Source organism: Homo sapiens, chromosome 13 (assembly GCF_000001405.40).
Source record: "Homo sapiens chromosome 13, GRCh38.p14 Primary Assembly".
In the NCBI taxonomy this organism is placed as follows: domain Eukaryota; kingdom Metazoa; phylum Chordata; class Mammalia; order Primates; family Hominidae; genus Homo; species Homo sapiens.
In genome coordinates this window covers 66,557,310-66,583,684 of record NC_000013.11, presented here as the reverse complement: position 1 = coordinate 66,583,684, position 26,375 = coordinate 66,557,310, and the positions used below count along the sequence as shown (strand labels likewise).

Sequence of the window (26,375 nt, the reverse complement as noted above, 5' to 3'; positions counted from 1 at the left end):
ACAGAGAACATGATTAAATAGAACAAGAAATAACAAACTATTTCAAAGAGTTTTATTCTTTTTTTTTTTTTGAGAGGGAGTCTCACTCTGTCACCCAGACTGGAGTACAGTGGCGGGATCTCAGCGCACTGTAACTTCCGCCCCGCCGGAATTCAAGTGGCTCTCCTACCTCAGCCTCCCGAGTAGCTGGGACTATAGGCGCGTCCCCCCAAGCCCAGCCAATTTTTTGTATTTTTAGTAGAGACAGGTTTTCACTGTGTTAGCCAGGATGATCTCAATCTCCTGACCTCGTGATCCACCTGCCTCAGCCTCCTGAAGTGCTGGGATTACAGGCGTGAGCCACCATGCCCAGCCTAAGAGTTTTATTCTTAAACATTGAGTAGATAATCAAGTGGTAAGAAATTATAATCGAGTAAGTTAAAATGAACATGATGTTGTAGGCGGATGACCTTTATGCATTTATTTATTTTATTAAATGTATATATGCATTTTTTTCCTGAAGAGGATATTCATTTCTTTAATCACATTATGCAAATAGTTCATGACGCCAAAATGAACCAATGCATTAAAAAAAAAAAAAAAGCATGCACATACAATTTCAAGAGCATTCTTATGCCCATGTGTGGATCTTATTTAGCAGAGGACAAAATGTAAATGAGGTCTAAAAGACTACTAAACGTGGTAGAGGGGTTCAGATAAAAGGAGGAATCTAAACCAGATGAGAGATAATCATGTGTTTGGGTGGAGAGTAAATAGAGGATTTATATTCACGATTTCAAATGTAGTTGTCTATTTATTGTTTATCCCTCCATACTATTTAGGTAGTGTTGACCAAAGAGTCATAGTCTGACAAGACACTGGACTTCATAGTACCTTCAGCATTGGAAATGCTTATGAAATATAATCTAAAGTAATTACACTGAATGTAGGAGTTCACACAAGGATATCTTTCATATAAAGAAATGTTAAAAGAACAAGGCTCTCTTGAAGTAGCAATATCAGTCAACTCGTTAATATTTTATCTGTTTTATTTATTTATTTATTCATTTGTTTGAGACAGGGTCTCACTCTGTCACCCAGCTGGAGTGCAGTGGCGTGATGTTGGCTCACTGCAACCTCCACCTCCCAGGCTCAGGTGATCCTCCTGCCTCAGCCTCTCAAGTAGCTGGGACTACAGGTGTACAACACCACACAAGGTTAATTTTTGTATTTTTAGTAGAGAAAGGGTTTTGCCATGTTGTCCAGGCTGGTGTTGAACTCCTGACCTCAATTGGTCCTCCTGCCTTGACCTCCCAAAGTGCTGGGATTACAGGCCACCATGCCCGACATTGTTTTATCTTTAATGTGAAATGAATAGCTTTTTGAGATGAGTGAAATATCAGGATAATTGCTTAAATGACTTAACAACATTTTACCTTATCCAGATTATTCTTAGCATGGGTGCTATCTAGTAAAGACATAATCTATTCTTCTAATATGGAATATAACAGTGTGAAATTCCAAAGGTAAGCCAAAATTATTATTTTTTAAGAGAACAGAATGCAATTTCTGTCCTTCTTAATAAAAATAAGAGTACTTTTCTATCTCATTATGATAGGTTAGGTGTGTAATGATATACACTTTGGTCTCAAGACATTACCCAGAATGATATCATGAAGTATGGGATTCTCATTGGCTTTCCAGAGGAAGATTTAAGTTCTAAACTGAAAAGGGACAAAGACGTGAAGAGAAATAGATTAGCAGATCCTGTGTTCCATATCCATATGAATAGTCATTATGCTGACTAGATGAGGTACATTTTTCAAGATCTAAATAGGATGACTGGTGGACGGTATAAGTTTTGTATTATTATGTAGATCTCTGAGGCACAGCTTCCAGTGGTAGGCAATTGAACCACAAAGAAACTGAAGAAAGAAATGGGGACTGCCATTGAGTTGCTTGTTTTTACAGCAGCACCTGGCACACTTCATTTCTTGGGCACACATGGATATAATTCAATTTTTGTGGATGAAATTGAAATCCTTTCAGGAAATCTTAGAGTAATTAAATGATTCTGCTTCATGAAGAAAACTTTTTGTTTTTAAGTTTGAAGTAACGTCCTTCCTTTTACCCATCTTTTGTCTGCATTCTCCCTTCCAATGTAAGTTTGTTCTTGTGAGGAAAAGGAATAAATACTATAATTAAAAGCATCTCTGATAACATTGTACTTCAGGGAATTCACTTTTGCTGTGCATCTTCTTTGAGACAAAAAACGCACAACAGATGGTGTGTTTAATGTTAATCTCCTTATTATTCACTACCCAGTATTGCAAGAAACCTTCACATAGCAAAATATGGTCTGGTTTAATAATTATGCTATCTTAAGGCTTATTTTAGCTCATCCATAGAATGATACTGAGTTGCCAGTGACAATAAAGTTTTAAAGTTTTAAAACTTTGATTTGCTTTTTAAAATTTGTTGTAGTAAGCTAAAGCATTTTTCAGACATAATCTATTTACAATGTTTTGTTGTCTGGAATTCAAAAATTACCATTTCATGGTTTCTATTTGTGACAAATGTGAGGCATTCCTCATTTTATGGTAAAGTTTAGTAGCTCTCATAGCATTTTCAAAAATGGGTGTAAAGACTTTAATGTAAGAATTACAGCTTCATAAATGAAAGGATATCAGTGGAAATAAAATTTGGAGAGGCTGTAGCCTATAGATCAGAGTTGCTGACCACCACCGTGGCTAGAAATAACGCCATGTTCAGCATTAAGAAGACACCCACCTCTGTAATCTTTCATAGTTACTTCTATCTTCCTCTCCTGTTCAGATTGTTCTCAGTTATTTTTGACATCAGCTTGCATGGATGGGGGAAGAATTGTCAAAATTATTGTGGCAATTATTGAGCTTATTGTCTTTTTAACAATTTTGAAACATATATTTGCTTATCATAAGATACACTCATTTAAAGTGTACGTTTCTATGGCTTTTTGAATGAAGTGCCTAATATTGTTAAATGCTAAGCTGTACAGTGTGGGGTGGTGGTGGGAAGTATTTGTCAATGGTAAGGACATCTTTTTGGGGTGATAAAAATGTTCTAAAGTTGATAGTGTTAATGACTGTACAACAGTTTTATCACCCCAGAAAGATGTCCATACCATTGACAAATACTCCCACACTACCCCACTCCATATTTCTTAGCATTTGACAATATTAGGCACTTCATTCAAGGTTTAATGACTTTCTACACATGCATTTATGCTGATAACAGACATATACTTATTTAACAAGCATTTATTGGCAATTTCCCAGGTGCCAGACAGAATGATAGGTATCGAGGATAGAAAACTGAATATAACACTAGATCCTAGGCCTCAAACAACCTAGTAAGAAAATAATCTCAAAATAAATAGTTGTATATGCCAATAGTTCTTAGAAAAGAGACAAATATTTTAACAAAGATGTTTTAAGTTGATACATAATTATAAGAGAATATTTGGTTAGATGTACATGGGGTAAAGAAAATACAAAGTTTGTATACAGATACTATAGGAAATTATTTATTAACTTTTAATTAAAATATTCATTTACTCTAACACTAACATATTTATATTAGACTTGAATCTATAATCTTTAGAGATGTATATATCCTATTGCTCCTGGAAACTTAAGAGATCAAAGACATATATAAAAGAAAGGTATTTGAACATCTTCAAAAATCTTTTTATGGTATAAATCTAATTTTGACTCTGAAAATATTACCTGGGCTTTTGAAATTATCTCCAGTATCAGCTCACTTAATGTGCTCCAGTGAGGGGTCTTTGAAGATTACTTCTTTCTAACTTAATAGTTAAGAACACTAGTTTTGTCAAATAGATCTGAGATGAATTCTACCTTTATCATGTTTCCTTCCTTGCTACCTTTTATCCTTCTTTTTCTCCTCAGATATTTAAGAGCCTACTGTGTGCCTGACACTATTTTAGTATACTCATTTAGACAATCAAGCCACTTCAAATCTTTTTATTGGATGGGTATACATACATATGTCTAATCTAACTGACTTATATGACCATTTTTTACTATAATTTTATTGCCACAATGATTGCTATTGGTAGTTTTCTTTCACCTCTTCTTTTCTCCATCACACCGTGGTATCAGATATCCAGGCTCACAGCAAAATTGTCAGCATCGAAAATCCATTTTTCTACCATTGGAATATATTTCTCATAGCAGTCATTTTCCTATTCATGTTTTTGACCTTCAACAAATTAATGTGGCACTATTTTGTTTGGTAATAATTTAACATTGCTTGTCCCTGTTGCAATATTTTTCCAGTTCGAAGTTTAGCATTTTAGCTGCTGATATACTTCAGTATATTTATATGAAGTCATTTTATGTAGTAGATTTTATTATCTCCATTATGTAACACTTATTTTGATTTATATATTTATATTTTAGTTGTAGCTAATGACTACTGCAAAATAAAACTAATAGGAACATCAATTTTAGGAGAAAGAATTTCTTATTTATTATGCATGCCAAAACTACAGACAAGGCAATTAAGGAACCACGTACCTGTAGAATAGAGGGGCTTCCATTACATATGCAATTTTTGTGGCCATTACACAATTCTACAGGTCCCAGTCCTTACTGGTTGATTTATAGGTCTTCTTTATCTCATACAGCAACAAAACAAAGGCCCACATTGTGTGTCTCCAATAGGGTCAATGATGGAATTGCAAGTTACCTTGCCTTGCAGAGATAGTAAAGATCACTCAGATGTGCAAAGATTTAAGAAGCATAAAGACTGACTGGAAATTCACAGGAAGAGGAAAGTGTGGCTAGTTGGCAGAGAACAGGGTGAACTCAGTTGGCTCCCAAAATGGCTACTGAATTAATTTTCTTAGCTCATATTATGTGTCATTATGTTATAATCATTGTTTTTAGCATTGTTTACACAGAAGAATAAATACAAGAAATTAGATGTTTAATGGACCATTCAAAGCCTGACTTTTTCTTTTTTCTACTTAATGCATGAACTATTGGAGACTTCAATATAGCTTCTAGTGCTGTACATTTGTTCTTTTCTTTGTAAAATATGCTAGTCTGAAATTGAAGCATTTGAGATCACTGTTTTAGAAGTTGCTATCATAAGCAAAATTTCTAGTTGTTCTGTTCCCATGAGTCAAACTACACCCACTCAACAAACATGTAGAATGATCATCCAGGACCTACAGTAGGCTGACTACAAGTATTTCATCCTCTCAGCCATCCTGTGGGGTGGGTAGCTATTATCGTCACTCTAAAGACGAAAAAAAAAATGTAGCTCATGAAACAATTTGTTTGAAGTCAGACAATGAATAATACTCAACTCAAAAGTCAGTTCTCACTGTTGAAAACTCTCACTACAGCTTCAGCCTCCCCTGAGTAGGTAAATATCACATTCAAATAGGAAGATAATATGAGGCTAGAAGGTATGACGTTTTCCTTGATACTGAAGAGTGTTCTAACAAATTATCTGAAAGAGTAAATTTTTCTACTTTACAAGTATCTTTGTAAATTATATTTTTTACTTGCTTCAAGTGTCTTTATGGAGCATATTGAATACATTAGGGAAAATACATAAAATAAACTTTTAGATAATCTATATCATCTCTTGATAAATATATGGTATACATTTTACATAGAGACAAATATTAATTTTGATTTCAAGCTAATCAGTAGTTGTGATTAAGGGACCAGAAATTAGTTTTTCCACCTTTCCCTCAGCATCAGCACTTTAAGAAATAATAAATCTCTGACAGAAGTTTATCAGCTGAGCTTACAGTTATGTGTCCTATTTTTTCAACTTTTCATGCATCTGTCATTTTCTAGGTTTTAGCCAAGTTTGCTGAGCATCTGAATCCTCAGTCAAAGTGCTAAAATCCATAACTCTGAAAACCCTCTTTTAACCAATAACTAAGGCTCTTCAACTCAAGTGGAACTGAAAAACTTAAGAAAATATGAAAGCAATCTCCTATCAGTAAGCCAGGCTGCTTCTATTTCAATTTGTGTGTGTTAGGGGGGCGGGGAGTGGGGTACAAAAGTAATAGAAATAAGGATATGAACTATCTATCCTATGCAGTGTATTTCTGGGCTACTGACTGACGAGGGACAATGACTAATCTCCAAAATAGGTGTCAGAGCATAACAAGCTTTCTCTCAATATGAGTATTTTGTGCTCCAAATATAGAGTTCATATAATATTGATAATATAGATATTATTTTTTAATGTCATTAATGAAACAAAATTTAAATTTTAAAAATGCTCTTATTATTCACTTTGGATTCTATTATTTACTTTATAATTCCTGTTTCTGAAGTCCAGGATAGAGTTTTGTTCCTGCAAGTAATAATTCTATGCTTAAAATGAATCAATTCTGGAAATAATATTTTTTATGTTAAAATCCATCTCAATTTATATATTATTGGCAAATAGTATACATGGTAATATTTCTAATTTTAATTTCCTATATATTTATTTGTTAGTAGACTGGTTCACTGACAAAATAAATAACAATAATTCTTATCTCATGTAACAGTAGCAAAGATTTTTAAAATGAATTTAAATTGTATAATACCAGGTTATTTTTCAGTGAGATAGTTTGTCAATTACTTTTTCCATGAGATTTTGTGTTGTTTTTATTCAAGCAGTTATAATATCTTCATAATTATATGTATTTGTATACACACAGACATATATAGTTTGATATTATAGTTTTTTAGTGTAAATTTATATGAAAAATAAAAATAAATATACTGCACTGATAGAAATGTTTTCCTTTGAATAAATTCACTGATGAGTTGTACCTGTTTTTATTTTAATTACCCATAGAAGCTATTTCTCAATCTCCAGGCAATGTATTGCATCTAGTTTTTTATAGCTTCTTTTCTCCCAGGATTTCATTGCACACAAGAATGGAAAATTGAAAAGGAGTGAGATTGTGGCAAAATAATTGATGTCCCTTTAGGTTTTCCCCATGAGAATGCTCCCATAATAGCTTAAGTTCCCCTATTTAGGTCTCACAGTTTAGCTTGTCAATACGTAATTATGATTCCAAAACAAAACAGATTAGTTTGCAGTTATGGTGTGAATGCTGTCATGCTGAATAAAAAAGAAGCATTGGCTAGAGGAAGTGAATGTCTCATTAGTAGTTTCTTATTTAATGATCTACCAAGGTTAGGACTCTAACTGTGAATGCTATCTTTAACAATCTTAAACAAGATTCCTCCAGAGGCCCTATAATAGCCATAAAGGTTTGAATCTATGACCTGAAATTTCATTGCTACGATTATGGACATTATAAAAAATATATATGTACACATAGCTCTGTGTGTGTCTATGTGTGTGTGTATAAAGAAACTGGAACACCTGATCACAGAGCTACAATCTTCATTTATAATTAACATTTTTGGAATATATATATATTTTGAAATTTTAAAAGAATAAAACTATCAAAGAAATAAAGTGTTTATAAATGAAGACTTGATTTGAATTCACAAAATAGCTTCTAACCTCATGTTGATTATAAAAGTAAAGGCTACCTGCTTTGTACTGTTGAAGAATTTTGCCTTTCCTTTTTTTTTTTTTTATCTGCTGTGATGTTTTATGATAATTGATCTTTTTTATTTGGGTTAAAAATAATCCAAAGTGTCTAGCTTACATATTTTAATCTGGTGACTTTTTTGTACTATGCCTATGTGCTAATTGTGGTACAAAAACATAAAATTAACATATTTAGTAAGCAGTTACTATCTATAAGATTGTACTGAGTATTGGAGAGACATAGTTTCTTATCTCATAGGGCTTGTCTGGTAAAAAATAACATAGCATTAATTTATAAAAACCTCATTATATTCATTCAAGAAAAAATTACAGTGTGTTTTGAGAGTGAATAAAAGAGAAACTTGATATAACGTGATATAGTTGGAGGGAGATGGTTCTGAAAATGTCTTTGAGGGAATAATATCTTAGCTAAAACCTAAAGGATGAAAAGATATTGATGGATAAAGAGGATACCACACAGTGAGAAGAAGGAATTCTGAGGCCTAGAGGGAGGTAAAAGCAAGGCATATTTTAAAATATGAATGCAATGTGTTTGGAGCGTACTCACTGAAGAGGAAGGTGGTAGGCATGGGGTGATCTTACAGGGCCATGTGGACCTTCTAAGGCTTTTCAGCATTATTCCAAAACCAGTTAAGAACCATTCCCAGATTTTTGAGTAGATCCTGATGGGACTAGATGTGAGGAGGATTCAGGGAATATACCAATAAAGACATCCAGATTTCTGACTTAAGCAACTGGGTGGATTATGGTGCTATTTACTGAAGTAGGAACTCTCAGAGGTATGACAGATGCTTGTGAGAAATACTAACATGTATGCCTGTGTCAGGAAACAGAAGAAAGCTAGGACTGAAAATGTAAATATAGTATTTTCCTAACAACAACAACAACAACAATAAATATATATATATGTATTTTTTTTTTGAGATGGAATTCCATTCTTGTCACCCTGGCTGGAGTGCAATGGTGAGATCTCGGCTCACCACAACCTCTGCTTCCCAGGTTCAAGAACTTCTCCTGCCTCTGCCTCCCGAGTAGCTGGGATTAGAGGCATGTGCCACCATGCCCAGGTAATTTTTGTATTTTTAGTAGAGACGAGGTTTCACCATGTTGGCCAGGTTGGTCTCGAACTCCTGACCTCAAGTGATCTTCCCATCTCAGCCTCCCGAAGGGCTGGGATTACAGGCATGAGCCACTGCGCCCGGCCCAAAAATATCTTTGCTATTACTAGGTCATTCTTTATTTCCTGCACTGAGTTGTCACAGTGGAATTGTTTGTGGCTGAAGAAAGGCCAGCTTCTATGAAGCAGTCAAGGGCAGAAGCCACATTCCAGTTTGTTGAAGGGCGAGAATGACTGGCTAGAAATTGTGAGAAATATGTCTTTTATAAGAATCACAGATGGAAAGGGAGAACAGCTCAGTAGTAAATAGACACACTGGCTTAAATAAATTATTTCTGAGGACAGATATGATTTCATCTTTTTGAAAGATGCATTAAGTGTGGAAATTTGAAGACAAAAAATAGACTGAGTTAGCAGCAAAGTATTTAGAAGACTGGAACAATTGGGATACGGAAGACACAAGAGAAGATTAAGGAACATGCACTCCATTTTAAAGGAGCATGTAAATGGAGGATGTGTGGGTAGCTTGTATATCATCAATTTAAGGTTATTTTCACCTGAAAACTTCTACTTTATTTATGTATCAGTAGACAAGATCACTTGCATGAGGAAGATGGTCTGGTTCAGTAAAGACATAGAGAGAGAGAAATGAGATTGTGGAAGCAGGGAGGCAAAACAGATTTGAGGAGACTGAAGCTGGTTGGGAAAATTGGCTATGTAGAGCTTACAATAAATTGACCAGAGAACAAACATAGTTGTTGCTCATTAATATCGGATTCAAATTAAGGCTCAGCAATATGGAGATTCAATGGCTCAACTAAGAATGTGTTGTTGAGACATTCTTGTTTTTCCCTACAACTTATCTTTGGTAATGGTTTGCAGCTTTGCCGTAGGCAAGTAGGAAAGCAGAAAACTGAATTTATTGACAGGTGGTGTTTTCCTAGGTGATTTCGTCCAAAATGATAAGAGTATCTAGGCTATTGACCAGAGGGATTTTATGGACCTACTATGGAATGTTAAAACTAGAAGTAGGGGAGAGAAATAAAGCTGGAAAATATTGGTAGAAAGGAAGAAAGTAGAGGAAAAAATTAACTGAACACTCCATAATGTAAAAGAACCCGATAGTGGGATGGTTTGGGATTCCTATGTCCACATGCAAGTAATATTGACTGATAATTGCATTGCATTTCAGTTGATTTGGCACCAAAAAAACAAACAAACAAACAAACAAACAAACAAAAAAACCCAACTGCTCTCAACAAAATACCCTTAACTGACTGCAACTTGATTGCAATAAAAAGATGTAAGTCTGTAAATTATTTTTTAGTTTATCAAACATTGCAAATGGACTGTCTTAACGTAGCATCTCAACCTGTGCCAGATACTATGCTAGAATCTAATGATAAATTGATGAGAAAGACACAATCTTTTCTTTCAAGAAACTCACATAGGTAACAAGGAAATCTATTTAGGAGGTTCAGGCAAAATTAAAAATAGGAGAGGATAGCTGAATTGAGTTTTAATTGATAACAAGGGATTCAGAAGGGGTTAATACATTTACGCAAGTAACAAAAGAAACAATCAACCGAGTGAAGAAACAATGTATAGAATGGTGGGAGAAAATATTTGCAGACTATCTATCCAACAAAGGATTAGTAACCAGAATATGTAAGAAATCCAAACAACTCACCAGCAAAAAAAAAAAAAAAAAAGTAGGTAAATGATCCAAATAGACATTTCTCAAAAAGAGACATACAAATAGCCAAAAAGTATATGAAAAAAATGTTCAGCATCACTAATCATCAGAAAAATGCAAATCAAAACCATAATGGAATATCATCTGACCTCAGGTAAAATGACTACCATCAAAAAGATAAAGAGTAAATGCTGGTAAGGATGTGAAGGAAAAGGAGCTCTAGTATACTGTTGTTTGTATTGTAAATTAGTACAGCCATTATGGAAAACAGTATTGGGGTTTCTCACAAAACTAAAAATAGAAATACTACCAGCCTGGGCAACATCATGAGTCCCCGCTACAAAAAATAAAAAACTTAGCCAGGCGCAGTGGCACATGTCTGTGGTCCCAACTCCTTGGGAGTCTGAGGTAGGAGGATCTCTTGAGCCTGGGAGGGTGAGGCTGCAGTAAGCTGTGATCATGCCGCTGCACTCCAGCCTGAGTGATACAGCAAGGCCCTGTCTCAAGAAAAAAGAAAGAAAAAAGAAATACTATAGCTTCTAGCAATCTCACTGCTAGGTATATATCCAAGAGAAAGGAGATCAATGCGTAGAAAAGATCTGCACTCCCATGTTTATTGCAGCACCATTCACAGTAGCCAAGATACACAATCAACCTAAGTGGCTATCAGTGGATGAATGGATGAAGAAAATGTGGCAAATATACACAATGGAATATTATTCAGCCATAAAAGGAATGTAATCCTGTCACTTGTAGCAATATGGCTGAGCCTGGAGGACATTATGTTAAGTGAAAGAAGCCAGGCCCAGAAAGACGAATATAACATGTTCTCACTTGTATGTGGGAACGAAAAAAATTGATCTCATGGAGGTAGAGAGTAGAGTGGTGGCTGGCAAGTGACTGAGGAGGGGAGGATAAAGAGAAGTCAGCTAATGGGTACAAATATACAGGTATATAAGAAGAATAAGCTTGAGTGTATGCTAGCACACATAGTAGGGTAAATATAGTTAACAATAATTTATTGTATATTTTAAAATAGCTAGAAGATTTGGAATGTTCCCAAAACAAAGAAATGATCAATGTTTGATAGTGGTGGGTGTCCTAATTACCCTGACTTGATTATTACACATTGTATGAATGTATCAAAATATCACATGTACCCTACAAATATGTACAATTGTTATGTATCAGTAAAAAAGCTTATATGGTGAAAAAGAGTCATAAGTTTAAGAGAATTCAAGAATTCTGAGTCGAAATTATATTCCTTTCTTTTTTTTTCCATTGTGACACAATGTCTACAAAAACATATATATTTAAAAGTTAATATTATTCCTAATTTTCTGGAACAACTACAACAAATTATAGATTTTTATATGTAATCAAACATTCATATTAGTTTAGTCATACACGATAAAACATTTATATCCAAAACCCAGCCAAAATAATCAGGAATGCAATGTTGGACTGAGACTAGAAAAAGAAAAATGTTAATTTTTGCCCAAACATTTGACTATTTTGTGACCTCAGAAGAATTATTTACCCAGTCACTCTTGAGTTTCTCATTTGTAATTGCATATACAATCAACTTACTATCTCATAAGCTTTTATGCAAAATGGCTAATAAGAATAATTATACAAAAACAACAGTCTTTTAGCCGTTGAACTATCAAGCGATAATGAGGATGGTAGCCTGGAGTACAACTGATATGTAGAGCAGAAAAGGACAATTATTTCTCATGGCAACAATGTTAAAAAAAAAAGAACATTAGTGCCATTTAGGTGCTATTTTTAGTCTAAATATAGCTTGCTAAGTCTTTTTATAATGCCCTTATATTTTGCCATAACATTCAATCTATGGCCATTATAATTTTCCATGTACAATTAGGTGAGTGAATCATAGGTCTGCAAATACCAAGCAAAGGGTCAATGTTTTCAAATTACAGGTATTTTGTTACTCATAAAGAGGCTTCCAGATGAATTATGATATTGTTTGATATAAAGACATAAAAATTTACAATAAATGTCTGGGAGGATCAGAATTAGATCAGAATATCTGATATAATATGTGAGTGTGCTATTTGTATAGGATAACTTACCATGTAACAATAAATATTCTCTCATAGGAAACAAAATTAAAATGTTATTAGGCCTCATCTAATATATTTTGACAAAGCAACAATTCTTGTTACTTTTAACCAGTAGTAAGATTTTATATCTATGCCTAGAATAGCAGGATAAAATGTTAAGAAGGTTAATTCTAAAGTAAAAATTATATATTTCTATTATTGAATAGTTCATTCAGATATTTATGCATTCTGTTCTATTTCACCTCCCTCCTCCCTTTTATGCATATGCATTATTCAATTATATAAGCACTGAAACTTATAAAATATGTACTAGACATTAATTTTTCTCAGATTTTGAAAGCCATTTATCTTAATGTGTCCTCTAATGACAAATGAAATAAATACCTTTTTTAAATGTGTCTTACAAAAGTAACTGTCATATTTGGATTCTGTTGTCTTCAACCTCTACAATCCTGTATTCAAAATCTATTGCCTAATCTAACTACTTTGTCAAGTTAATCAATTCCCTTTTCTTTTCTAAAATCTGTTTTCCTTAGTTTGTGTTCACTATGCATCTTCTTCTATAAGTGATTTTTAACTGAAATGTTAATAGATATAATTGAAGATTGACATACAGTTGTAAGAAATAAGGCAGAGAGGACCCTAGTCCACTTTTCCTAGTTTACACAATGGTAACATTTTGCAAAACAGTAGTATAATATCACTGCCAGGATATTGACATTGATAAATCTCCCTATCTTATTCAGATTTCATTAGTTTTACTGGTATTCATTTGTGTGTGTGTCTGTGTTATATTTAGTTTTACACAATTTTATCTCCTGTGTAGTTTCATGTATCCACCAAAGTAGTCAAAATGCTGAACAGTTCCAACACCGGAATCTCTCATGTTCTTTCATAATCACACATACCTGTTTCCCACTGCTCTCCACATTTCCCTCCTCATCCCTAATCCATGGTAACCATAATCTGTCCTCCATTTTTTAAACTGTGTCATTTCAACAATGTTGTATAAATGGAATCATATAGTATTTAACTTTTTATATGGGTTTTTTTCCTTCAGTATAATCCCCCGGAGATTTGTCCAAGTGGTTGAATGTATCAATAGTTGACGCTTTTTAATTGGTGCATAGAATTCCATGGTAATAGCAGTTCTTTGAGTCATTCACTTGTTGAAAGACATTTGGACTGTTTCAAATTTTTGCCTATTAGGAATAAAGCTGCTATTTAATATTTGTGTTTACATTTTTATGTAAATCAAAGAAATTTTTATTTCTTGGATAAATAACCAAGGGTGTGATTGTGGAATCATACGACAATTGCAGATTTAATTTTGTAAGACTCTGAAACTAGTTTCCAGAGGCAGCACCATTTTTATATTCCCAATACAACAGATGAGTGATCCAGCCTGTCTTCCTCCTCACCAGCATTTGGTGTTGTCTTCAATTAATACTTAATCATCCCATCTCTTATATAATGGGGTTATAATTAACCTATAAATGCTCTGAATATTCTTCATAAATAGAAACACCCTCAACCAATAAACAACCAAAATGTTCATGAATGGTAATTTGACTATACAACGTTTTGAGTATCTATAGAATGGCTTGTATGGTATCCTAAAAATTATGTTGAGGAAAAACAGCATATAATGTGATTTGTAATGACGTTACAGTACAATGACATATAATGACACTGAAAAATATTAATGATATATTCTTAAGTGGAAAAGACATATAATTGTATATATTGTACACAATATATGCAGAAGAAATAACAGAACTTTCATTATGGTTAATTTTGAGTAGTGGCATTTTAGGTGAGTTTGTAATTTATTTTTATTTATCTACCCTTTCTAATTGTTTTAAAATGACACTTTTGGCTGGGTGTAGTGGCTCATGCCTGTAATCCCAGAACTTTGGGAGGCCAAGGCAGGTGGGTCATTTGAGGTCAGGAGTTTGAGACAAGCCTGGCCAACATGGTGAAACCCCGTCTCTGCTAAAAAATAAAATAAAATAAAATACAAAAATTAGCTGGGGGTGGTGGCACATGCCTGCAGTCCCAACTACTAGGGAGGCTGAGGCAAGATAATTGCTTGAACTCAAGAAGTGGAGGTTGCAGTGAGTTGAGATCGTGCCACGGATCTCTAGCCTGGGTGACAGAGTGAGACCCCATCTCAAAAAAAAAAAAAAAAAAAAAAAAAGACATGTTTCCAAGAACAGAAGGTTAATAGAAACTCCATATATACGAACCTTTCATACTACATAGTACTTAGTATTTGCATATCAGTAACTGTTTCTCCTGTATTCAACTACTGTTTAGAAACCCACCCCTCCAGAACTTCCATTACTTTTCACCTTCTCATTCCCAAATTATATCTCTTTTTTCTTTGAATGTTGTTCAAGATGCACCTATATTTTTGAATATATTTTGCTTTTGACCCCTTTGACTTACATTGAGTGTTAAAGTGACATCTGGATTACTCCTGATCCCCTCTCCTGCAAATCATTTTCTTTTTTTTTTTTGAGACAGGGTTTTTCCCCTGTCATTCAGGCTGGATTGCAGTGGCATGATCATAGCTCACTGCAGCTTCGACTTTCTGGGCTCAAGCTATCCTTCCACCTCAAACTCCTGAGTAGATGGGACCACATCTAGCTACTTTCTTTCTTTCTTTTTTTTTTTTTTGTAAAGTCTCACTATGTTGCTTAGGCTGGTGCAAATCATTTTGAGTCAGTTTATCAGTGTATGTGTGTGTGTGTGCGTGTGCGTGTGCGTGTGTGTATGTGTCTGTGAGTAAATATTTCCATGTCTTAATTGTGCCTTATCTTAGTCTGCTGTAAAAAACTACCACATGACTACTGGATGACTTAGATGACATAAATTTGTTTTCTCACAGTTTGGAAGTTTGGGAAGTCCATGATCAAGGTGCCAACCAATTAAGTTCCCAGCAAGTGCCCTCTTCCTGATTTGCACATGGCTGTGTTCTTGCTGTGTCCTCACATGGTAGATAAAAAGAGCTCAGTTATTTCTTCTTCTTATGATTAGGAGAACCAACCCTATCAGATTAGGGCCCCACCTTCATGATCTCATTTAACTTTTATCACTTTCTTACACGTCTTATCTCCAACCACAGTCATAGAGGGAGTTAGGCCTTCAAACTATAAATTTTGGGTGGGCACAGACATACAGTTAATAACAAACACACAGTAGGTGTGTTTATTAAGCAATTATTTAGGCTTAGGATGCAAACCAGCACTAGTGGAATATAAATGAGAAAAACATATGTCTTAACTAAAATGTAGTCCTAAATTAGGTGACTGTGGTTTATATAAGAAGTAAATTGTACATCAGAAACCTTATAAGCACTACAAGTTTTCTGTGTTCCTGAAGAAAATTATTTATTCCTTGCATAATTTGGTAGTAAAAAAGTAAAGTCACAGATTATAATGTCAATTAAATTTGGTTTGTACTTTAAAATGGTACTTCTGACAATTTGAAAGAAAACTTTCTGTTGAGTTGTTGATAATGGTGGTAAGCTGTGTTTCACTAAATATTTCTCTAAACATGTCCTTTGGGTCCATTATGCAAAGTAAAAAGTATAAATGTTTAAGAGGTCTCTGTATTTCTTTGTTAGAATCATGCATTTGCATTGTAATATCATTTGTTGAGGTCAAGACTATTTATTTATTAGCAGACAGATGGATTTATTCAGTGTTGTAAATATGGAACACATTGAAGTAATAATTGAAGGTTAAAGATTGGCATTCTGGTGTAATGAATGGGAAAGGGAGAAAGAAGACAAGTGTCAGAGGAAAAAGGAGCTAATTAAAAAACAATGGACAATAACCCTTTAAAAGCTCCATCCCCATACCACGCGTTTTTTATTCAAATGTAGTCTGGTACTGTCAAATATGCAAACTTTTCCTCCCTAATTAGAACATGAACTCCTTGGGAAAAAAGCAGATAGGTAGATTCTATTATATCCCATGCAGCACCCAGTATGGAGCTCTTCACAGACAAATACTTAATGCATCTTGAATGATATTGACTTAAACTGAATGGCACTGAATTCAATAAGACTTTTCCTTTAGGACTGGCTAAAGTTCTAATAAGCAATTTGATTTTAAGGATTTTTTTTTTAAACATAAGAATGGAGAACTTTCCCCTCACTATATTCTTTCATTCATATATCATTTTTATTTTGCCTATATTTCCACATGATCCTAGTGGATTTGCTGTGATGTTATCATCTCCTTCCACAGCTTACTAATTGCAATATGCTTATACGACAGTGCAATGTCAAAATAGTCTCCATTAACATTTAAAATGCTATCTTTTACTCTTGGTATATAATTAAATGAATGCATCAAAAATTTAAGCATGATTTTTTTATAAGATGCTGTCTAACAAAATTATAACTAGATGTTAAAGTTATGAGCTAATTGACCATCAAGACGGGCCCTTGGTTTCTAACATGTAAAAGACAATTTCACTTCAGAACAACTAATAACAGGCCAAATCACTTTGACATATCAACTATTAAATTCCTGACAGGCAAAGTTACTGTTAGTAAAAGCAATGCATGTAAAATATATAGTGATTTTAATATAGTCATTTTACTTTATTTGTTTGAGTTTTGTATTATGAACTCTCTTACCTTTACACTGCCTAGCTGTTTTGTGTGAAGAAAGAGAAGTGATCTATTCAGACCTTATTGCTATTTCTTTATTAGGCAAGGCACATATATATATAGAAAACAAAAATATCTAAGGGAGACTTGCTTCTTCTATGGAGGTAAAATTGGATTAACATCCTTGGCTATCCTGTGGAAATTGAAAGCTCTCCTTATATTTTATGGATATGTACAGCAGGCTTGCATTCTTATGGCTGGTCTGCTTCTAGGAGTCTCAGAGTCTACTGATACAAAGTGAAACACATTAGTTCTTTCTTGTATAAAAACAAGCACATTCCTACAAAGTATTTTCCAATATTCTAGAGTGAAGGAAAACTCTGAAAAGTACATCACAAGTCAAATAGCTTCCAATTGAGCGTTAAACTTTCATGGTTTTGAAAGTTCTTTCAGACACTGCCACCTTGAATATCTCTCAGGCCTAGCTTCACCCTGTGGCATGATCCTGGGACTCCCTTCTCTTCCACAAATCTTCCCTTATCTGCTATCCTCACTCCCTCCTCCTTGCTGGAGAAAAACAAACATACAAACTAAGAATTTCTTGTCTCAGGCAAAGTAGGGTAAGGCTTCTCTTGTTTTATTTAGGCTCTTTCCATCATTTTCTAAAATCTTAGCTTCTCTCCCAAGCAGCTTTGTTTTTTTCCATAGGAGGAAATAGGAGAGAGATGTTAAAACAATGAACAAAATCCCTTTATATTTATATCCTAACAGACCAATGTTGTTGAAGGAATGTATATAAATATAGAGGAATATGTCTGAATATCTGTAAATTTCCTTAAGGAACCTGAGTCTGGCCATAAGGTTTTATCCAGACATGTGTGTTCTTTCAGAAAATGACATTTTTAGCACACACACAAAATCTTATGATTGAGTATGAAAATGCTGAATGATGGAATTGCCTGAAGATGAGATTACTAACTATATGAGAGGTCTACAGCAGAGTGTGAAATCTAAGATTGAGATAAATTTCAAGCTTTCTCTGTACTAGCATTAACAGCTGCTCTGTCAAAATCTGCCACTCTCTCTGGTTACTGTGATCCCACTACTGAGGAAGTTCATTCCAGGAATTTGTTTCACTGCACTTTCTAGGTTTCTCATACAGCTTTTCTTTATCATATGCTGTGAATCTTGAGGGCACATTGTTCATGAAAATGGAAGAACAATGTTTATCACAAAACTAGATAATTATTCTTCTGCACTTAAGTTGTTATCACCATTTATTTATTTGCATGTTGTTATGTTCTCAGCATAAGGGTGAAAACATTCTTGGAGTTTCAAAGTCTACTGATACAAAGTGAAAAACATTAGTTCTTTCTTGTATAAAAACAAGCACATTCCTTATACAAGTACCTAAGCGTTAGTAATAGTGTTAGGTTACAATTTGAAGACACAGAAATTTAAGACACGAAAATGATTTAGCAACTTAGCACTGAAAGTACAATTATTGTCCTGAAACAGTTAAAAGAATATGTACACATTTTATGATATTGCATTATATTTGTATAGCTTCCTAAGGGAAGAATATTCTCCCCATGATGTCTATCAGAGAGAAACGAGGTTACATCCATGTGCATGAGTATAACCCTTCCATTGATTTATGGACAAAGAAATCCTCAGGGTATCAAAAATTAAAAAAAAAAAACCCTACATTATGTGCATGATGTTTCTGAGTGAGTTTAATTTTGTATTTGCATTTGTGAGATAGATAAAAGCTGTAGAAAAATCACTTTTGGGAGATAACTCCCTATTGACTCTGCATCAGGAAAATAGTAAAATGTGTTAGAATTTCAGCAACAAGAAGGAATATTTTATGACTAATATAATCATTTTAGAGAGAAGAATTCAAATAACTAGAAGAAAGGGGGAAAAATCGTGGTACTCTCTGTTTTTAAAATTGTCTTGTATTTTCAGAAGGCTGTTGATTTTAGTTTGTCAGTGACATCATATGTATTAACACTCCCATTTCTCTGTTATCAGCTGTCCTCCCATATTTAAAAAAAATTATTAAATTTTTTACCAAGCCATTATTAAGAGCAAATCAATGACTAGTGTGGTGGGTCATGCCTGTAATCCTAGCACTTTGAGAGGTCAAAGGGAGAGAATCATTTGAGCCCAGGAGTTCAAGACCAGCCTGGGCAAAAAGGTAAGACCTCATCTCTATAAAAAAATCTAAAAATCAGCTGTGCATAGTGGCGTGCACCTGTAGTCCCAGCTACTTGAAAGGCTAAGGTGGGAAGATCCCTTGAGCACAGGAGATTGAGGCTGCAGTGACCTGTGATCATGCCACTGTACTCTAGCATGGGTGAAAAAGCAACACATTGTCTTAAAAAAAAAATCAAAATTTCCCATAAAACATTGAAACAAGTGGTCAATGTCCTTGTTGCTTTTAGACTGCCAGCTTTTATTACTGTTGTATTCCCCTGGTTTATTTTAATAACAATTTTCTCCCACAATTGTGCCTTAAGCTTGGATTATGTACCAAACATATTTTAGCCCCTGGGGATACAAAGGGTAATGATAGACGATGTTCTGTCGAAAGGGCTGTGGTAAGGGAGAGTAGGACTAACAATTTAAAAAAAAACACCCTGCGTTAATAATAACAATATTTCAGTTACAAAAAGTGTCCTGATGAAAATAAAACTGGGTAATATGTTTCAAAACAGAGGGGGTGGGCATTATGCTGCCAATTTAGAATGGCTAGATAAGGAATCACTCTCCAAGAGATAACAGGTAAGCCAAAACGAAAAAACAGAAAAATGTCAGGAATGGAGGAATGGTTTTGGCAAAGAGCATTCGCAAATATAATCATGTGAATGTCTTGAGAATTGAATGGGCTTGAGGTATGCAGAAAATATGGAAAACTACTGAGAGTGGGGCACAATATGTGACACCCAGCATGGTAAGTGGTGAGATCAGGGGACTACGGGCAGATCATGCACCACCTTGTTCTGGAAATAAGGAGATCAGGTTTTATTTTAAGCATAAGGAGAAGCCATTGTGAAGTTTAAAGCAGGGAAAAGACATGCTCTCATTTGTAATTGTAATAGATCGTTGTGGCTAGAGGGTAGAGTGTGGATTTGTATGTAGGGTGGTTTTGACTGAAGTAGTAGCAATCAAGTGATAAGAGCCTAAGTGAATTTACGGATCTATTTTGGAGGCAAAACCAACAGGACTTGCTGATAGATTCCATTTAACTGTTGGGAGCAAACGGAAAAGGACTCAAGGATGACTCAGGTTTTTGGTCTCACAGCTTGATAGACTATGATGCTGTTTAGAGAACTGGGAAATGGAAACAGGGCAGGGACAGGTTTACACAGGGAGTGCTGAGAAGAATCAACAAAAGTTCTATTTTGGATAAGAAAAGATAGAACATACAACACAACAAAGTCAAGACAACATGGCAATCTCTGATTCCTCAGGCAGAATGGTGTCCAGCAAAACCCATGAATGTTAAATAAACTTCTCAAAAGTCAATGAATTCGATAAGGAAATAAAGCTTTTAAAGGACATGAAAAACTGAATTTTCTTTGGGGTATTACTATATATACTATATATATATATGTATGTGCAGCACATTAACTTCAGAGACACAAACATACACATGCATATACTCCAGTTTTAATATGAATGAGGAGTATAAGCATAAACTGCTAGTTTCGTTTTATCCTTTCTCATATGAAATGGCTCTATGAGTCCTGTGACTCCATTTCATGACTCTCCATCCACTTACTCAAGGCAGACAGCTTTGCTCTGACCACTCAGGCATTGATACCATTTGGCTGTGTCTCCACCCAAATCTCATCTTGAATTGCAGCTCCCCTAATCCTCATGTATCCTGGGAGGGACCCGGTGGGAGGTAACTGAATCATGAGGGTGGGTTTTCCTGTACTGTTCTTGTGTTAGTGAATATGTCCCACAAGATCTGATGGTTTTATAAAGGGCAGTTCCCCTGCACATGCTCTCTTGCCTGCTACCATGTAAGACATGCCTTTGCTCCTACTTTGCCTTCCGCCATGATTGTGAGGCCTCCCCAGCCATGCGGAACTGTGAGTCCATTAAACCTCTTTTTTTTAATAAATTACCTAGTCTTGGGTATGTCTTTATTAGCGGCTTGAGAACAGACTAATACAGGCATTTAGTATATCTGCTATACTGAGATCTATTTGTCTAAAACTAGGAGCTCTAAAGGTTTAATGATGTGTAAAATAGAGCAGCCTACATGCTGAGCTAAGAAAAAGTTTATATGGGGTGATGATGTCATCAGTGGTAACTGATTTACATATTATCACAAGTTTGATTTTTTTTTTCCTTTTAAATATATTTTATGCTTAACTAGTACTGTGTCCGGAATTGGTGGGTTCTTGCTCTCACTGACTTCAAGAATGAAGCCGTGGACCCTTGCGGTGAGTGTTACAGCTCTTAAGGTGGCGTTTCTGGAGTTTGTTCCTTCTGATGTTTGGATGTGTTCAGAGTTTCTTCCTTCTGGTGGGTTTGTGGTCTCGCTGGCTCAGGAGTGGAGCTGCAGACCTTTGTGGTGAGCGTTACAGCTCATAAAGGCAGTGTGGACCCAAAGAGTGAGCAGCAGCAGGATTTATTGCCAAGAGCGAAAGAACAAAGCTTCCACAGTGTGGAAGAGGACCCGAGCGGGTTGCCACTGCTGACTCGGGCAGCCTGCTTTTATTCTCTTATCTGGCCCCACCCACATCCTGCTGATTGGTAGAGCCAAGTGGTCTGTTTTGACAGGGCGCTGATTGGTGCGTTTACAATCCCTGAGCTAGACACAACGGTTCTCCATGTCCCCACTAGATTAGCTAGATACAGAGTGTCAACACAAAGGTTCTCCAAGTGCCCACCAGAGTAGCTAGATACAGAGTGTGGATTGGTGCATTCACAAACCCTGACCTAGACACAGGGTGCTGATTGGTGTGTTTACAAACCTTGAGCTAGATACAGAGTGCCGATTGATGTATTTACAATCTCTTAGCTAGACATAAAGGTTCTCCAAGTTCCCACCAGACTCAGGAGCCCAGCTGGCTTCACCCAGTGGATCCCACACCAGGGCCACAGGTGGAGCTGCCTGCCAGTCCTGTGCCTTGTGTCTGCACTCCTCAGCCCTTGGGTGGTGGATGGGACTGGGTGCAGTGGAGCAAGGGGCGGCACTCCTCCGGGAGGCTCGGGCGGCACAGGAGCCCACAGAGTGGGTGGGGGGAAGCCCAGGCATGGCGGGCTGCAGGTCCCGAGCCCTGCCCTGTGGGAAGGCAGCTAAGGCCCGGTGAGAAATTGAGCACAGCAGCTGCTGGCCCAGGCGCTAAGCCCCTCACTGCCCCGGTGGCGGGGCCAGCCGGCCGCTCCGAGTGCGGGGCCTGCCCAGCACACGGCCACCCGGAACTCGCGCTGGCTCACAAGCACCACGCGCAGCCCGGGTTCCCGCCCGCGCTTCTCCCTCCACATCTCCCAGCAAGCTGAGGCAGCCGGCTCCGGCCTTGGCCAGCCCAGAAAGGGGCTCCCACAGTGCAGCGGCAGGCTGAAGGGCTCCTCAAGTGCCACCAAAGTGGGAGCCCAGGCAGAGGAGGCGCAGAGAGGGAGCCAGGGCTGTGAGGACTGCTAGCACGCTGTCACCTCTCAGTCCTTTATATGACTTACATGATTCTTGTAGAATTCCGGACTTCTGGAATGATGTTGAGTCACTTTTCTACAGGTAGAATGCAGAGGTGACTGAGCAGAAGTTAGATAAGGAGGCCTGAAATCAAAGAGGTATTTTAAGTTACAGCCCAGGGGCAAAGATGCCTTGAGTGAAATGTGCCTTTTCAATTCTCCAATCCAAGAGTATTTTGAAGCCAATTTTATTAGCTGATTATTTATTTGAATTCACAAAATTACCTACTATGACAACAAGTGCTAAGTATTTCATCATTCACTGGATGGCCGGGCTGTGCTGCCAAGGTTAGAAGACAGATAAAAAGTGCCTTCCAGGGAAGAGACCAATGCACGACCCGAGGTTGTGATACAGAAAACACACATGCTGGACTCAAGCCATACAGTGTTTACTCACAGCAAGAGAGGAGCAAGAGTGCACAAGGTCCAGCTCCTTACATTGTGTTGGTCCCTCAGGGCCACTGGATCCACTTCACAGCTATGCTATGTGGGGAGTTAGCTGCACCCACCCCACTTTGTGCTGCAATAGAGGGACCCCTCCCCCTTCCCATGCAGTCTGAAATACAGAAAGCTGGAGGTGTGTCTGAGGGCCATTGACATATGAGCTTAAGCAGATTAAAGGAGTATACAGAGTCTGAAACAGGAAAAGATATTCCCATACCAGGCGATAAACCCGGCACATGCTGTGAAGGCTCTTTATCTGTTGGTAAGGAAGTGTTCGGGTTGAAGGCTCATTCTTCTGTGGTCCAATGGAGTCCACACACAGGACTGCATGCAGGAGACAGCCTTTCCCAACACAGAGAAACAACAATTATATTTTGGACAAAATAAACTGCATATGTTCAACTTTTAATTTCTGTTATTATCCTAAGTGTGCAAATAAGATAGATATTCATTAGCTGTGTATGTTAAAATGACTGAAAATACAGTATGGTGAAGTTAAAAAGTGATAGGCCTTGTATCACGTTAGTACATTTGAATCCTGATCCGTGTGTGTGTGTGTGTGTGTGTGTGTGTGTATATATATATATATATTTTTTTTTTTTTTTTTTTGAGATGGAGTCTTGCTCTGTCTCCCAGGCTGGAGTGCAGTGGCACGATCTCAGCTCACTGCAAGCTCCGCCTCCTGGGTTCATGCCATTCTCCTGCCTCAGCCTCCTGAGAAGCTGGGACTACAGGCACCCGCCACCACGCCCGGCTAATTTTTTGTATTTTTAGTAGAGATGGGGTTTCACTGTGTTAGCCAGGATGGTCTCGATCTCATGACCTCATGATCCACCCACCTCAGCTTCCCGAAGTGCTGGGATTACAGGCGTGAGCCACTGTGCCCGGCCTCCTGATCCGTATTTTTAAGTTACTTGTTATCAGGTAGTTACTTAACTTCTATGAAGTCCAGTTTCATAATGTTAAAGCAGAGATCATATCCTCCTGAAGAGATTTGTAGGATTATATAAGACAACATATAATAAAATACTGGCTATAAAGCCAACACACAGTGGCTTCCAATACAACATCAAAGGCAAATTTTCCTTCTTTGTAAGCATAGGAAAGAAGGAGTTCAGGAAATATGAGCTCTTAGCTGATTTGTTTACACAATCCTTTACTACATCACCAAGATTACTAGGTATCAGTAAAGTGAACATATGAGTAGTTTTGATGGGATATAAGTTAGTCACTAGAAGGTTTAGATCTTTCATTCTTTACTCCTGACAATTCTCTTCTGGTTTCTATTGAAGGTAATTCTTGCTAAGGAAGTAACTAGTTTGTAAGTCACTGCACAAGAGAAACTAAGTGGAAAGTTTCCAGTCCTAGCCTTTTAATCATTCCTACTGACCCCACTTATCAAGACTTCAAAACTCTGTGCATGTCAGCTCTGCCATTGAAGCACAAATTAAGAACTCACCAGGTAATTATGTCTCACTTCATTGACGAATTCTTCCATTTGGTTTACAGAATTTTAGTTCCCTTAATTACAACTGAAAGCAATCCTAGAAACTCCTAGGAACGACTTAAGGAATAAGCCATTTGAACTTTTGCCCCAAGGAGTCTTGAGAACCAAATTTTAGCTTCTGGCTGACTGCATCCAGAGTGGTCTGAAGGGAACCCAGCATCTTCCAGACTAAGCCCATACTTTGCATGACTGAGCTCTTTTACAGTTAGCGCCTGCCCTCTCTGCTTGAGGCTCTGACTTTGGCAGTTGCTCCAGAGGAACTGACTGTGTACTAGGGCACTTTCTGAAAGTTTCAGAGAGGAAGGAAAGGTTTTTTAAAAAAATTTCTGTCTGTGCCAGAGTGTTTTGGAGGTCTTTTCTTCCTCAGCAACTCTTTAACTCACCCCTTGTGAAATATTTTTCTGTGTACTTTGCAGAGAATGGGATCTCACCAGAGGCCCAGCAAAATGACTTCAGAAAAATATAGACAGGAGCCAAATGCACTATGACCTCCCCTCCACCTCCTTACAAGACAGCACAGGACAGAACCCTTCACTTCTTTTATGACTATGCTAATTTTTTCATGTCATAAAAGGCTTTTTTAAAAAAAGCATACATTTGTTTAATAGTTTGTAAAATGATCTCTGAAAAGTCTTTTTAAACATACTTTCTTTCAATGTACTAATGCATTTTAGTATTTAATGTAATTTAGTAATGAATGTGAAAGAAATAGTGGCAGAGCTGGCTTTTGTTTGTTTGTTTGTTTTAGAGACAGGGTCTGGCTCTGTTGTTCCGGCTGGAGTGCAGTGGTGCAATCATAGCTCACTGCAGTCTCAAACTCCTGGGCACAAGCAATCCTTCTGCCTCAGGCTCCTGAGTAGCTGGAACTACAAGCACACACCCCTACGTCTGGTAATTTTTTAAGTATTTTTGTAGAGATTGGGGTCTCTCCATGTTGCCCACACTGGTCTCCAAACTCCTGGCCTGAAGCGATCCTCCAGTCTTGGCCTCGCAAACTGTTGGGATTACAGGCATGAGCCACTGTTTCCAGCCCACTTCTCTTCTTTGTCTCTAATGCGATTATATTTCTGATGTTAACCTTTGCATACAATCCTATCCCAGTCTTGATAAGTACTCTCCATCTACCTTTGTATTTATCAGAAACCACTCTATCATTAGCACATCTTCTCCTTCAGATATTGGTTGTATCCTTAAGCTTAACAGAACTCTAAATACTTATAATAGTTTATCTTCCTTTGAGTTTTCCCTTTACTGTTAAAAACGCTTGCTAAATTTATAGGAAAGTTCTGTTGTAACCAGTACAGAGGGCAATGCTGGTTTCTGTTACAGCGAAGAGAAAGCAATATAAATCACCATGTAATTATGTACATGATGATTTCTATATTTATGAGCAGATGAGAAGCATATGTTTCTCTGAAGTTTTCTAATGATCTGTGAAAGAAATATCCTAAATAAAATATAATTCCAAAATATGAATTTGTAAAATAGACTACGCTTACTATTACATTTTAAAGTCTCAGTGAATATATTGTTTGTTATTGATAATTTGTATATTTAAAAATATTCACAAAGATCTCTATTTGAATTAATCA

General features: G+C 36.5%; 1 protein-coding gene and 1 long non-coding RNA gene across 9 annotated transcripts in view, besides 1 other annotated feature; one reads left to right on the top strand and one right to left on the bottom strand.

Moving 5' to 3' along the window:
• Positions 1-23,300, bottom strand: part of LOC105370247 (uncharacterized) — a 99,761-nt gene extending 76,461 nt beyond the window's left edge. For 2 of the 4 annotated variants that reach the window (XR_007063817.1, XR_001750076.2), the window contains exons 1-3: positions 23,230-23,300; positions 22,821-22,917; positions 2,770-2,841 (exon numbers count right to left, since the gene is read on the bottom strand). This is a non-coding gene — a long non-coding RNA (uncharacterized LOC105370247). The remainder of the gene's footprint in view (positions 1-2,769; positions 2,842-22,820; positions 22,918-23,229) is intronic. The other 2 variants (XR_007063818.1, XR_007063816.1) reach the window with 1 other exon arrangement.
• The window catches only part of PCDH9 (protocadherin 9), a 927,503-nt gene that overhangs the window by 646,652 nt on the left and 254,476 nt on the right, over positions 1-26,375 (top strand). The window lies entirely within an intron of this gene.
• Positions 15,314-15,608: a silencer, noted in NCBI's record as "tiled region #12707; K562 Repressive DNase matched - State 7:EnhWF". NCBI's record gives its function as "represses a minimal TATA promoter and a strong SV40 promoter by Sharpr-MPRA in K562 cells {active_cell/tissue: K562}" and the evidence as "EXISTENCE:reporter gene assay evidence [ECO:0000049][PMID:27701403]".